At 43.3% G+C, this 13,335-nt stretch overlaps 2 protein-coding genes and 1 pseudogene across 5 annotated transcripts in view, besides 6 other annotated features; 2 read left to right on the top strand and 1 right to left on the bottom strand.

The window, feature by feature from the left end:
* Positions 1–5,218, bottom strand: part of MSH3 (mutS homolog 3) — a 222,164-nt gene extending 216,946 nt beyond the window's left edge. The window contains exons 1-2 of the mRNA NM_002439.5: positions 4,906–5,218; positions 3,339–3,459 (exon numbers count right to left, since the gene is read on the bottom strand). Coding sequence (NP_002430.3) covers positions 3,339–3,459; positions 4,906–5,142 — 358 coding nt within the window. The 5' untranslated portion in view covers positions 5,143–5,218. The remainder of the gene's footprint in view (positions 1–3,338; positions 3,460–4,905) is intronic.
* Positions 4,597–5,365: an enhancer, noted in NCBI's record as "NANOG-H3K27ac-H3K4me1 hESC enhancer chr5:79950324-79951092 (GRCh37/hg19 assembly coordinates)". NCBI's record gives its function as "activates a minimal SCP1, AML or CMV promoter by ChIP-STARR-seq in primed H9 embryonic stem cells {active_cell/tissue: H9 hESC(primed)}" and the evidence as "EXISTENCE:reporter gene assay evidence [ECO:0000049][PMID:30033119]".
* Positions 4,597–5,392: a biological region, named in NCBI's record as "NANOG-H3K27ac-H3K4me1 hESC enhancer GRCh37_chr5:79950324-79951092".
* Positions 4,783–5,392: a silencer, noted in NCBI's record as "silent region_16140". NCBI's record gives its function as "represses an Ori minimal core promoter by ATAC-STARR-seq in GM12878 lymphoblastoid cells {active_cell/tissue: GM12878}" and the evidence as "EXISTENCE:reporter gene assay evidence [ECO:0000049][PMID:35858748]".
* Positions 4,887–13,335, top strand: part of DHFR (dihydrofolate reductase) — a 28,758-nt gene continuing 20,309 nt past the window's right edge. For 2 of the 4 annotated variants that reach the window (NM_001290357.2, NM_000791.4), the window contains exons 1-3: positions 4,887–5,466; positions 5,813–5,862; positions 10,376–10,481. In NM_001290357.2, coding sequence (NP_001277286.1) covers positions 5,381–5,466; positions 5,813–5,862; positions 10,376–10,481 — 242 coding nt within the window. In that variant the 5' untranslated portion in view covers positions 4,887–5,380. The remainder of the gene's footprint in view (positions 5,467–5,812; positions 5,863–10,375; positions 10,482–13,335) is intronic. The other 2 variants (NR_110936.2, NM_001290354.2) reach the window with 1 other exon arrangement.
* Positions 7,626–7,920: a silencer, noted in NCBI's record as "tiled region #3862; K562 Repressive non-DNase unmatched - State 16:ElonW". NCBI's record gives its function as "represses a minimal TATA promoter and a strong SV40 promoter by Sharpr-MPRA in K562 cells {active_cell/tissue: K562}" and the evidence as "EXISTENCE:reporter gene assay evidence [ECO:0000049][PMID:27701403]".
* Positions 7,626–8,140: a biological region, named in NCBI's record as "Sharpr-MPRA regulatory regions 13584 and 3862".
* Positions 7,846–8,140: a silencer, noted in NCBI's record as "tiled region #13584; K562 Repressive DNase matched - State 16:ElonW". NCBI's record gives its function as "represses a minimal TATA promoter and a strong SV40 promoter by Sharpr-MPRA in K562 cells {active_cell/tissue: K562}" and the evidence as "EXISTENCE:reporter gene assay evidence [ECO:0000049][PMID:27701403]".
* On the top strand, positions 8,840–9,450 carry MTRNR2L2 (MT-RNR2 like 2 (pseudogene); annotated as a pseudogene).

The raw sequence follows: 13,335 nt of genomic DNA, 5'->3' as shown, positions 1-13,335 counted from the left end.
GAATGAATGCATTATAGAGTAGCCAAAATGATAGAGACAGAAAGCTGAATGGTAGGCGCCAGGGGCTGGGGGAAGGGGGTTACAGTGAGTCAGTGTTTAATGGGTACAGAGTTATAGGAATGCAAGATAAAATGAGTTCTGGAGATGGATGGTGGTGGTGGGTGCATAACAATATAAATGTACTAAATACCCCTGGGCTGTATACTTAAAAATGTCTAGGATGATAAATTTTATGTTATGTATATTTTACCACAATAAAGAAAATGAATATTTTTAGAAAAGGGAATGAAGTACTGATACATGCTACAACACGGATGAGCCTTGAAAACATTACAGTAACTGCAAGAAACCAGACACCAAAGGCCACATATTGTATGATTCCATTTATATGAAATGTTCAGAATAGGCAAATCTATACACAGAAAGTAGATTAGTGGTTACCTAGGGCTGGGGAGTGCTGGGGCAGAACAGGAGGTGGCTGTTAATGGGCACAGGGTTTCTTTTGGGGTGATGAAAATGTTCTAAAATTGACTTTGATGATGGTTGCACAACTCTGGGAATATCCTAAAAGCCACCGAATTGTGCATGCTAAATGGGTGAATCATATTGCATAACTGTATCTTTTTTTTTTTTTTTGAGACAGAATCTCACTCTGTCACCCAGCTTGGAGTGCAGTGGCACGATCTCGGCTCACTACAACCTCCACCTTCCAGACTCAAGGGATTCTCCCGCCTCAGCCTCCTGAGTAGCTGGGACCACTGGCGCCCGCCACCACATCCGGCTAATTTTTGTATTTTTAGCAGAGACAGGGTTTCACCATGTGGGCCAGGCTGGTCTCGAACTCCTGACCTCAGGTGATACACCTGCCTTGGCCTCCCAAAGTGCTGGGATTACAGGCGTGAGCCACCGTGCCTGGCCCCAAGAACTATATCTTAATAATTCTGTTATTAGAAAAAAACAAAAACAAAAAACTTGCCAGGTATGATGGCTCAGGAGCACAGTCCCAGCTACTGAAGGGCTGAGGCAGGAGGATGGCTTGGGACCAGGAATTCAAGACCAATCTGGTCAACACAGCAAAACCCTGTCTCTAAAAAAATATATATATTTTTAATTAGCCAGGCATGGTGGCATGCACCTGTGGTCCTTGCTACTAGGAAGCTAAGGCAGGAGGATGGCTTGAGCCCAGGAGTTTGAGGCTACATGAGCAATGACCCTGCCACTACACTCCAGCCTGGATGACAGAGTAAGACCTGTCTCTAAAAAATAAAATAAACTGAAGTGGAACAGTCACCCAGCTTCTGACTAGTGAATGATCCTCCCCCTTCTTCCTTAGTGCCATTTTTAACAAGTGGCAAAGGTCCTATTTTAAAATATGCCAAGTGTGTTGTCTTATTTCAACAACATTCCATCTCAACTGTCCCCATGTGGTCTTAGTTAAGTTACTTAACTGTGATAATCATCAATTCTCTTCATCTATCACCCACTTCTTCCTCTATAAAAAGAGAACAACAGGCCGGGTGCAGTGGCTCACGCCTGTAATCCCAGCACTTTGGGAGGCCAAGGCGGGCAGATCACTTGAGGCCAGGAGTTTGAGACCAGCCTAGCCAACATGGCAAAACTCTGACTCTACTAAAAATACAAAAATTAGCCAGGTGTGGTGGCACGCACCTGTAATCCCAGCTATTCGGGAGGCTGAGGCAGGAGAATTGCTTGAACCCAGGAGGTTACAGTGAGCAGAGATTGAACCCAGGAGGTTACAGTGAGCTGAGATTGCACAAGTGCACTCCAGCCTGGGTGACAGAGCGAGAGACCCTATCTCAAAAAAAAAAAAAGAGGGCAAAAAGCATTCTTAGGAAAAATAAATGAGCTACAAAAAGCCTCTAGAATAAAAATCATAGGTGCTCATTCAGTGTTTGTAGACCTAAAAAATGGGTCTATGCAGAATAATCAAGCAATGAAAGGTAGGCTGCCCCAGAATTGTAACATTAACCGTGGCAAATTCTCTCAAGTCACGCCTCCTTGCATGACCCCTCCAGAAAGGTGAAGTTTTAGATTTACTTTTCTCCTTAGCCACACATCTCCATTCCTGTAGTTATTTCATACTAACACTTTCATGTTGACCCTAAAATTCAAATTTTACCTTTTATGGAAGGATTAATATTTTACATATATCTCCATTGGACAGATACCTCTATCTGAATTGGAACTTTTTTTTTTTCTCATTCTCTTTACCTAATTTCCTGAGGATAATGAATAAAGATGGATTTCCTGTCTTCCCTTATCACAAATTCTCTGGTACCATAAAACTAGAGAAAAATCTGCTCAACTGTCTATATGCAACACCACCTCTAGAAATCCAGGAACTCAGGCACTCAGGCAGGCTGGGTTTTTATTTATTTTTGTGCTGTTTTTTGTTTGTTTTTTGTTTTGAGACAGAGTCTCGCTTTGTTGCCCAGGGTGGAGTGCAGTGGCACAATCTTGGCTCACTGCAACCTCCGCCTCCTGGGCTCAAGTGATTCTCCTGCCTCAACCTCCCAAGTAGCTGGGATTACAGGCAACTACCAGCACGCCCAACTAATTTTTGTATTTTTAGTGGAGATGGGATTTCACCATGTTGGCCAGGCTGGTCTTAAACTCCTGACCTCAGGTGATCCACCTGCCTTGGCCTCCCAAAGTGCTGAGATTACAGGTGTGAGCCCCTGCGCCCAGCCTAGGCATGCTGTTTTTATTCAATGCCTTTTACATACACAAAGAGCAGCTCTAAGCAAAAAAAAGCGGGGAGAGTAGATCTGCAGGTCCTGATACTGAAAATTGTTCAAAATTTTCTATTAAGTAGAAAAAGATAGTAGCAAATTAGTATAGAATATAATATAATCTGTAAAATATATTTAAACTAATTTTTGAGCTTATGACTATGCACATATACACATGTACAAATTTTTAAAATCTGGAAGTATATACAGAACACCAATAGCAGTGGGCCTCACTCAAAGGGAGGGATTATGGGGTCTATCACTGCCTACCTTCCACATTTCTGTACTGTTTGAAATTTCTGTAGCAAGAATGTTTTAATTTTATAACCAGGACAAAAATAGCTAGAAGGAATAAAGGAGAAAGTTGGGAGAACTACAGCTAAATTGCAGAATTGTAGCTCTACCATCCCCTTAACCTCCTATACACATCACCATCACCTATAGGGGGCCACTCTGCTCAGGAACAAAAGGGACCTTTCTCCACAAAGAAAAAAGACACAATTCTAATACGCTCTTCTGCCCTCTGGAGAATTCCAGAATACCAGAGCCATGACTGAGGAGAAAAAAGAATCCCCCACAACTCACCAGAGTTGCCAGACATTCCCAGATCACTTCCTCCTTCCTTTTGTTGGACTTTCTTTACTTTCTTTTTAACAGGCCCATCATTTTCCAATGGTCTCTTCTTTCTTCTGTCAATTTCTGTAGCCTATATCGGGAAGGTTAGAAAATGATGTGTTATCTCTACTCTGAGAAGGCCTGACGTATGTGAAGCAATTTAAACCTTACAACTGAATGACAAGGTTCCTTGCCATCCACTCTTCAAAGAATCCTCTACTTTTAGCTCTGGAAAACCCTATGGGTGAACTGTTTTTAACACCATAAAAGACAAGGTAGAGTCTGATAGTCAGGAGCCTCAGCAACTCAAGCCGTGTTTAGAATTAATTGAAACCAAGGCTGCTACCGGTCTTGATTCAATGAGCCTTCAGCTTTCTCTAATTATAAAACTTGAATCACCCTACTTACATATGCTAAATAAAATACCTCTAAGAAATAAACAGTTATGTAGCAAAGGCACAGAGGGGAAAAGATAGGTAATAAAAGAACAGTATCATTTTTGACATGTTCACTGCAATTTAAGTGTTTCCTGTTTAAAAGGTTTATGTTCATCACTAAAGATGTGACAAGATTATGAATTTTTTCTTGGCAGAAAACTTGCCAAAAGCATACATAAGTCCTTCACCAGCTACCCTTTAAATGGTGGGTGCAAAATTTTGGTGAATTCATGAAAACGTAGCTCGTCCTCAAAAAAAACAGAAGAGGAGTAATCATTTTAAGGGAGAAATATATACGAAAGGAACAAGATTTTGAAGCACCCAAGCTGCCACCTACATTAAAACACGGTAGGTGGCTAAACACCAGTCTTCAATGCCCTTCCACAGCCTCAATCTGAAAAATACTGTGCAGGTGACCCAAGTGAGGGGTCACCCTTGGGCTTTTCCTGTGGCAGTATCTCTGGTTTAAAAACAAACAAACGTACTTATTGCGTTGAAGGATGGCAACAGGAAGGACTCCATGATTAGTCACATCTATACCATCCTAAGAAACTTTATCCACCCAAACTGTATTTCAGACTTTATAATCTAAACTACAAAAAGAGTTCACTGGGGAACTGCACAATATGACTGCTTTTAACCGTAGTGATTTCAAATATTGAGCCATGCTGTTGCAGTCTTAAAAACTGGAGACCTAAGGGCAGCTTTCTTCTAGTCACCCAATCCAGCACTTTTTTAAAAAATCAGTAAAACTCTTCGACCACCAAGGAAAAAAAAAAAGGATGGAGGTTAAAAGACGCACCCCTTGCCCACAAGCCCCCTCATCAGAATGGGAGTCAGGAGACCTGAGTTCCTGTCTCAGGCCTGCCATTAAAAACCTGCATAACCTTTGCCTATCTCCTCAAACGGAAGTACTAAAACCTCAGCGCTTCACCCAATTTGTAGCCCCGGCTGGGCTCTTCCCACCTTCCCCTTCTTCAGCCCGCCCCTTCCTCCTCCAGCCCTATCATCGGGCGGAGGGTCCCCGCCTCCGCCCGCCTTACCCACAAGCCCCGCCCCCCCAGCCCCGATGGCCCTGCCCAGTCCCAGACAGAACCTACTATGTGCGGCGGCAGCTGGGGCGGGAAGGCGGGAGCTGGGGGCGCTGGGGGCGCTGCGGCCGCTGCGGCCGCTGCAGCCGCTGCAGCGCCAGGGTCCACCTGGTCGGCTGCACCTGTGGAGGAGGAGGTGGATTTCAGGCTTCCCGTAGACTGGAAGAATCGGCTCAAAACCGCTTGCCTCGCAGGGGCTGAGCTGGAGGCAGCGAGGCCGCCCGACGCAGGCTTCCGGCGAGACATGGCAGGGCAAGGATGGCAGCCCGGCGGCAGGGCCTGGCGAGGAGCGCGAGCCCGCGGCCGCAGTTCCCAGGCGTCTGCGGGCGCGAGCACGCCGCGACCCTGCGTGCGCCGGGGCGGGGGGGCGGGGCCTCGCCTGCACAAATGGGGACGAGGGGGGCGGGGCGGCCACAATTTCGCGCCAAACTTGACCGCGCGTTCTGCTGTAACGAGCGGGCTCGGAGGTCCTCCCGCTGCTGTCATGGTTGGTTCGCTAAACTGCATCGTCGCTGTGTCCCAGAACATGGGCATCGGCAAGAACGGGGACCTGCCCTGGCCACCGCTCAGGTATCTGCCGGGCCGGGGCGATGGGACCCAAACGGGCGCAGGCTGCCCACGGTCGGGGTGGCCGACTCCCGGCGAGAGGATGGGGCCAGACTTGCGGTCTGCGCTGGCAGGAAGGGTGGGCCCGACTGGATTCCCCTTTTCTGCTGCGCGGGAGGCCCAGTTGCTGATTTCTGCCCGGATTCTGCTGCCCGGTGAGGTCTTTGCCCTGCGGCGCCCTCGCCCAGGGCAAAGTCCCAGCCCTGGAGAAAACACCTCACCCCTACCCACAGCGCTCCGTTTGTCAGGTGCCTTAGAGCTCGAGCCCAAGGGATAATGTTTCGAGTAACGCTGTTTCTCTAACTTGTAGGAATGAATTCAGATATTTCCAGAGAATGACCACAACCTCTTCAGTAGAAGGTAATGTGGGATTAAGTAGGGTCTTGCTTGATGAAGTTTACCAGTGCAAATGTTAGTTAAATGGAAAGTTTTCCGTGTTAATCTGGGACCTTTTCTCTTATTATGGATCTGTATGATCTGTATGCAGTTCCCAAGGTTCATTTACCATTATTAAAAAATTTTTGTCTTAGAAATTTTATGTATGTCAACGCACGAGCAAATTATCAGGCATGGGGCAGAATTGGCAGCTGGGTGGAGGCTTCGGTGGAGGTGAGCACTCCGAAAGGAAAACAGAGTAGGCCTTTGGAACAGCTGCTGGAAGAGATAAGGCCTGAACAAGGGCAGTGGAGAAGAGAGGGTAAAAATTTTTTAAGGTTACATGACCCTGGATTTTGGAGATCTCGAATTTAAAGGTGATGCACCAGGGATGAACGCTCAGATTTTCAGTTTGAAAGCTGGCGTGACATGTAAAGGAGTGGAGAATAATGTACCATTGTAATGATGAGGCGCCTCTAGGACATCTAGGATAATTTCAGGCGTGGGGATCTAGGTGAATTGAACTGTTGGAGGGAAGGGAATAACCAAGGAAAAGAATGTGGGGGTTGAGAGATGCCCCGTTTAAAACCTAAGAGACCTGGATATTTATGGTTGTAAGAGGAGGCATGGCAGAGGAAATGGAAACAGTAAGAAAGGAGCAGATGCTGCATCTCTTTAATGGGACAGATACAAGGCATTTGGGTTTGACACTTAGGTCACTGGTAGAGATGATGACAAGAGCCCGTAGCTAAAGAATTGATAAAAGCCAGTCTCAAAAATCCCAATATAGTCTGGTAATGTTAATGTTTCTTTGGTTCAGATAGCTGACTCTCAAAGTTATTTTCCTAAGAAACTGAACCAAAAGTGGACGCTATATGTAAAAAGTTTTTATAGAAGTGTTATAAGAGTAGGATAGAGACATAATTAAACATGTTTTAAGGTAATTGAGTGGAACATTAAGCACCTATTTTTAAAAGTATGATTTAATATCAATCTACAAAGTACACAAATATAATACAATTGTATCAGACAGTTGTGACAGCACTGATTAGAGGCTGAACATTATTCTAAGTCTTTAATTCCCACAACAACCCTAGAAGCAGGAACTATTGTTATCTCTATTTTATAGATAAAGTAAACCACAAGGGGTTAACACGTTTTGTCTTGTGGGTGACAAAATGCATTCAACTTGAGCACTTTGACTCAGAATCTTTTTTTTTTTTTTTTTTAAGAGGGAGTCTTGCTCTGTCGCCCAGGCTGGAGTGCAGTGGCGCGATCTCCGCTCACTGCAAGCTCCGCCTCCCGGGTTCACACCATTCTTCTGCCTCAGCCTCCTGAGTAGCTGGGACTACAGACGCCTGCCACCACACCTGGCTAATTTTTTGTATTTTTAGTAGAGACGGGGTTTCACCGTGTTAGCCAGGATGGTCTCGATCTCCTGACCTCGTGATCTGCCCATCTTGGCCTCCCCAGAATCTTTACTATGTCATACACAATTGCAAATGATTAAAACTAAATATTGGATATAAATTGGATAATGCCAAAGGGAAAAATAGTTAGATTTAGGTAATGAGTGATAAGTATGAATTTTGGTAAGACTTTTAAGTTCAGTTTTTTAAAGGAGATCTCTGCCAAACCCCAAAAACAAAGAGCCCTAACATCAGCCTAACCAGATTTCAAATTTCATCTTTTGGCGGTATGCATTTTTAACAGTCACCCCTCAACTAACACATCATCCTCCCTCAACTCACATTCTACTAACCCCATCAATGCAACTCCCTGCCCACCTTACTCAACATATACACCGCTGCTAGCCCCATACCCCGAACCAACCAAACCCCAAAGACACCCCATACGGTTTATGTAGCTTACTTCCTCAAAGCAATACACTGAAAATGTTTCGACAGGCTCATACCACCCCATAAACAAATAGGTTTGGTCGTAGCCTATTAGCTCTTAGTAAGATTACACATGCAAGCATCCCTGCCCCGGTGAGTCACCCTCTAAATCACCACGATCAAAAGGAACAAGTATCAAGCACGCAGCAACGCAGCTCAAAACGCTTAGCCTAGCCACACCCCCACGGGAGACAGCAGTGATAAACCTTTAGCAATAAACGAAAGTTTAACTAAGCTATACTAACCCTAGGGTTCGTCAAGTTCGTGCCAGCCACCGCGGTCACACGATTAACCCAAGTCAATAGAAACCGGCGTAAAGAGTGTTTTAGATCAATTCCCCTCAATAAAGCTAAAATTCACCTGAGTTGTAAAAAACTCCAGTTGATACAAAATAAACTACGAAAGTGGCTTTAACGCATCTGAACACACAATAGCTAAGACCCAAACTGGGATTAGATACCCCACTATGCTTAGCCCTAAACTTCAACAGTTAAATTAACAAAACTGCTCGCCAGAACACTACGAGCCACAGCTTAAAACTCAAAGGACCTGGCGGTGCTTCATATCCCTCTAGAGGAGCCTGTTCTGTAATCGATAAACCCCGATCAACCTCACCACCTCTTGCTCAGCCTATATACCGCCATCTTCAGCAAACCCTGACGAAGGCTGCAAAGTAAGCGCAAGTACCCACGTAAAGATGTTAGGTCAAGGTGTAGCCCATGAGCTGGCAAGAAATGGGCTACATTTTCTACTTCAGAAAACTACGATAACCCTTATGAAATTTAAGGGTCGAAGGTGGATTTAGCAGTAAACTAAGAGTAGAGTGCGTAGTTGAACAGGGCCCTGAAGCGCGTACACACCGCCCGTCACCCTCCTCAAGTATACTTCAAAGGACATTTAACTAAAACCCCTGCGCATTTATATAGAGGAGATAAGTCGTAACATGGTAAGTGTACTGGAAAGTGCACTTGGACGAACCAGAGTGTAGCTTAACATAAAGCACCCAACTTACACTTAGGAGATTTCAACTCAACTTGACCACTCTGAGCTAAACCTAGCCCCAAACCCATTCCACCTTACTACCAAACAACCTTAACCAAACCATTTACTCAAATAAAGTATAGGCGATAGAAATTGTAAACCGGCGCAATAGATATAGTACCGCAAGGGAAAGATGAAAAATTATAACCAAGCATAATATAGCAAGGACTAACCCCTGTACCTTCTGCATAATGAATTAACTAGAAATAACTTTGCAAAGAGAACCAAAGCTAAGACCCCCGAAACCAGACGAGCTACCTAAGAACAGCTAAAAGAGCATACCCGTCTATGTAGCAAAATAGTGGGAAGATTCATAGGTAGAGGCGACAAACCTACCGAGTCTGGTGATAGCTGGTTGTCCAAGATAGAATCTTAGTTCAACTTTAAATTTACCCACAGAACCCTCCAAATCCCCCTGTAAATTTAACTGTTAGTCCAAAGAGGAACAGCTCTTTGGACACTAGGAAAAAACCTTGTAAAGAGAGTAAAAAATTTAATACCCATAGTAGGCCTAAAAGCAGCCACCAATTAAGAAAGCGTTCAAGCTCAACACCTATCATCCGAAAAATCCCAAACATATGACTGAACTCCTTGCACCCAATTGGACCAATCTATTACCTTATAGAAGAACTAACGTTGGTATAAGTAACATGAAAGCATTCTCCTCCACATAAGCCTACATCAGACCAAAATATTAAACTGACAATTAACAGCCTAATATCTACAACCAACCAACAAGCCATTATTACCCCCACTGTTAACCCAACACAGGCATGCCCACAAGGAAAGGTTAAAAAAAGTAAAAGGAACTCGGCAAACCTTACCCCACCTGTTTACCAAAAACATCACCTCTAGCATTATCAGTATTAGAGGCACCCCTGCCCGGTGACATATGTTTAACGGCCGCGGTACCCTAACCGTGCAAAGGTAGCATAATCACTTGTTCCTTAAATAGGGACTTGTATGAATGGCTCCACGAGGGTTCAGCTGTCTCTTACTTTCAACCAGTGAAATTGACCTGCCCGTGAAGAGACTTTTAAGTTCAGTTTTTTAAAGGAGATCCACTAAATGTCAGGATGTCCATCATATCTATGCACATAGATAAGTCCTCAATGTCATCTGTGAGTTCTTGGAAACTGTGACTTTAAGTGAAACAATGTAGAGCAAAACCAATTTTACCATAGGCTACTGGATGTACACAAGAGTTAAGTTCCTAGGGCATATTGCTGGTCACAAAAACATCACCAAACTTCTAAATGAAGGCCAAAAACACTTCTAATAGAAAACACTGAAGTAAATATGAGCTATACATACATTTAAGAAGAATAATGTGCATGTCTTTGGGATGTGGAAGGAAACTGGAATACCTGGAGAAACCCCATGCAGACATGGGAAAAGCATGCAGACTCCACACAGACGGTGGCCCTGGCCAGGAATTGATTATTTTTCTCATCAACGTTAGAAGAAAACGATGTTATTCAAGGACATGTTGTATATAAATACATGAAAATATATGTATATTCCCAAAATATACTTAGGCTTTCTTTGTGATTTTATAGGTAAACAGAATCTGGTGATTATGGGTAAGAAGACCTGGTTCTCCATTCCTGAGAAGAATCGACCTTTAAAGGGTAGAATTAATTTAGTTCTCAGCAGAGAACTCAAGTAAGTACCTTAACATAAATTCACCACAAGAAAATCATGTCTCATAGTGGAGATCAGTATATGATAAAATGAAATTGTATAAAAGGAGCTATTGATGAAGCTGCTTAATATCACAAAGGTGATTATAGAAAATTAATAAGCAGTTATTTATACTACATGACAATAACTTATTCTACTACCTGAGTAATTGATTTCATCACCTTGAAAAGTTACATTAAACATTAAATAGCTCACTGTGGTATCAGATTTGCAAGTTATCTTGAACCATCATTCAGTAGGCCCAAATATAAATTATACAGTGTAATCAATAACCTGTAGTTTCACATAAAGTCAAAACAACTATTTTTTGGGACTTGCTAAAATTAAGTGATGATCCCCTTTCTGGACCCAACCCTAAATGCAATAAAATGTGAATTTTAGGATGGGCTGAAATGGGTCATAATCTTCTACTCTGTTATTCCTAGTTAACCACAATACCCAATAATATTTTGTACTTAACATTCATTACCCAGTGTCTGAAGGTAAAACATTTCAAAGTATTGAAATGGTTCTAGAGATCCTGGAGAGAAGCGGGTATCTCCAGTTAGCCTCTGCTAAGAATTTTCCTGTCCTCCAACCCAGGGTTGGAGTCAGTAGTTCATGAAGCCTGGATATGCCCTGGTGACTGGAGAGTGGGAGGGGTAATCATATTAAGACTGCCCAGGAAGTCAACTCCAATGGCTTGGGAGGTTGAGGGGTGGCCAGAATTGGACCTGTGTTAATCCATTCTCATGTTCTTATAAAGAACTGCCCAAGACTGGGCAATTTGTACAGGAAAGAGGTTTAATTGACTCACAGTTCCTCATGGCTGGGGAGGCCACAGGAAATTTAAAATCATGGTGGAAGGGGAAGCAAACGCATCCTTCTTCACATGGTGGCAGGAAGGAGAAGTGCCGAGCAAAGGGGGAAAGGCCCCTTATAAAACCATCAGATCTCATGAGAACTTAACTATCACGAGAACATCATGGGGGGTACCACCCCCCATAATTCATTTATCTCCACCTGGTATCACCCTTGACATGTGGGGATTATTACAATTCAAGGTGAGATTTTGGCGGAGACACAGCCAAACCATATCAGGATCTAAGGGGAAGGTCTGGGATCTGGCATGTTAATCATTCTTAGTCTAATAATATAATCACCAAAAAGAATGCAGTATCCTAGGGCACTACTTTCTTGGGAACAGTAGTCATAGTATTCTTTTCCCATGTGTATTGGTGAAGATTCAACCAAAGAAGCAGAACCAGTAGTAGATAGATACAGGTATATTAAAGAGTTTTATTGCGAGGAATTGGCTTACACAATTATGGGGGCTGGGTACGTGAGTCCAAAAATCTGTAAAACGGGCCATCAGAAAGGACAAGCTGGAATTCTCCAGCAGGGGCTGAAGTGGTACAGGTGAAATTTCTTCAGGAAAGCCTCAACTCTACTCTTAAAGCCTTTAAACTGATTGATTCAGCCCACTCAGATTAAAGTCTGACCGGGCACAGTGGCTAACCCCTGCAATCCCAGCACTTTGGAAGGCCAAGGCAGGTGGATCACTTGAGCTCAGGAGTTTGAGACCAACCGTGCAACATAATGAAACCCCGTCTCTACAAACAAATTAGCCAGGCGTGGTGGCATGTACCTGTAGTTTCCAGGAGGCAGAGGTTGCAGTGAGCCAAGATAGTACCACTGCGCTCCAGCCTAGGCAACAGAGTGAGATCCTGTCTCAAAAAAATTTAAAAAAAAAACTGAATTGTAATCACATCTACAAAATGCCTTCAAAGCAACACCTAGATACAGTATCTGAATAACCAAGGACTATATCCTAGTCAAGTTTAACACTATGGGAAGGAAAGAACTACACAGCTATATAGGCTAAGGGGATTCAGGCTTACATAGATTTTCTCCCAAGTTCTTCCTAGAATGGCATAGGTAAAAACCGAGAAGAAAGTGTATAGAATATTTGCATTGATTGCCTCTGGGCGACGGGGCAGATTTGTTGATGTGCATCTTGCTGCCTGCTTCCATCTTCATGCTGTTCTTTCTTCTGGTTGCTAGGATGCTCTGATTATCTCTTTCCTTGGTAGATTTCAAATTCACAGACTATATCGCCATTCCAAGAAACTCTTTAATGATATTTTTGAATACTACTCAAGTTTGTTTATGGCTAGCTTAAGCTCAAACAGAAAGAAATCTCAGTGGGGGAGATGTTCACTTGAGCCAGCATTTCTCCTCGAATATGATGAGTGTAATTTTTTTTTACGACCTTCCTGTGATGCATGTAATTGGGTTTGGTTGCTTCTTCTGTATTTATATATAACATATGTTGGTGTCTTGTGCTTTTTTTTTTAAGGCTGAGAAAATTTAAAGTCTTTGTTATCAAGCATGCCAGGGAAATAGTGATACCAGTTAGTAAAAAATGTTAGAGCTCTTTTTTGTTGTTGTTCTTCCTTCCACTTCCTTACTTGTTGGTCAGTCCCACACATATAGTGAACAGCTGCTGAGTGCCAGGCACTGCAGGGTCCTGAATAAGAGGGCAGAGATTTATACATGGAAATCACTTGCTTATGCCAACTCTAAAGATACTTCATTTTTCACCCCTCTCCCCCAATGTAAGAAGAAACTGAATCCTCAAAGTGATCACAAAATTTTCTACCAAACACTATAGTAATTTAGGGTAAATATTTCTTAAGTAAGGTATTGAGGGAAAATGCTTTTCCAAAGTTGTCTAGACAGTCAAGTTGTGGCTTTAAAAGAACTTGAGGTGAGAAGGGTGGGAATGGCCACTGATGAGTACAGAATGTTTTCTTTTTTGGTGTGATGGAACTGT

This window comes from Homo sapiens, chromosome 5 (assembly GCF_000001405.40).
Source record: "Homo sapiens chromosome 5, GRCh38.p14 Primary Assembly".
Taxonomy (NCBI): domain Eukaryota; kingdom Metazoa; phylum Chordata; class Mammalia; order Primates; family Hominidae; genus Homo; species Homo sapiens.
This window is presented reverse-complemented; position numbering and strand designations above follow the sequence as displayed.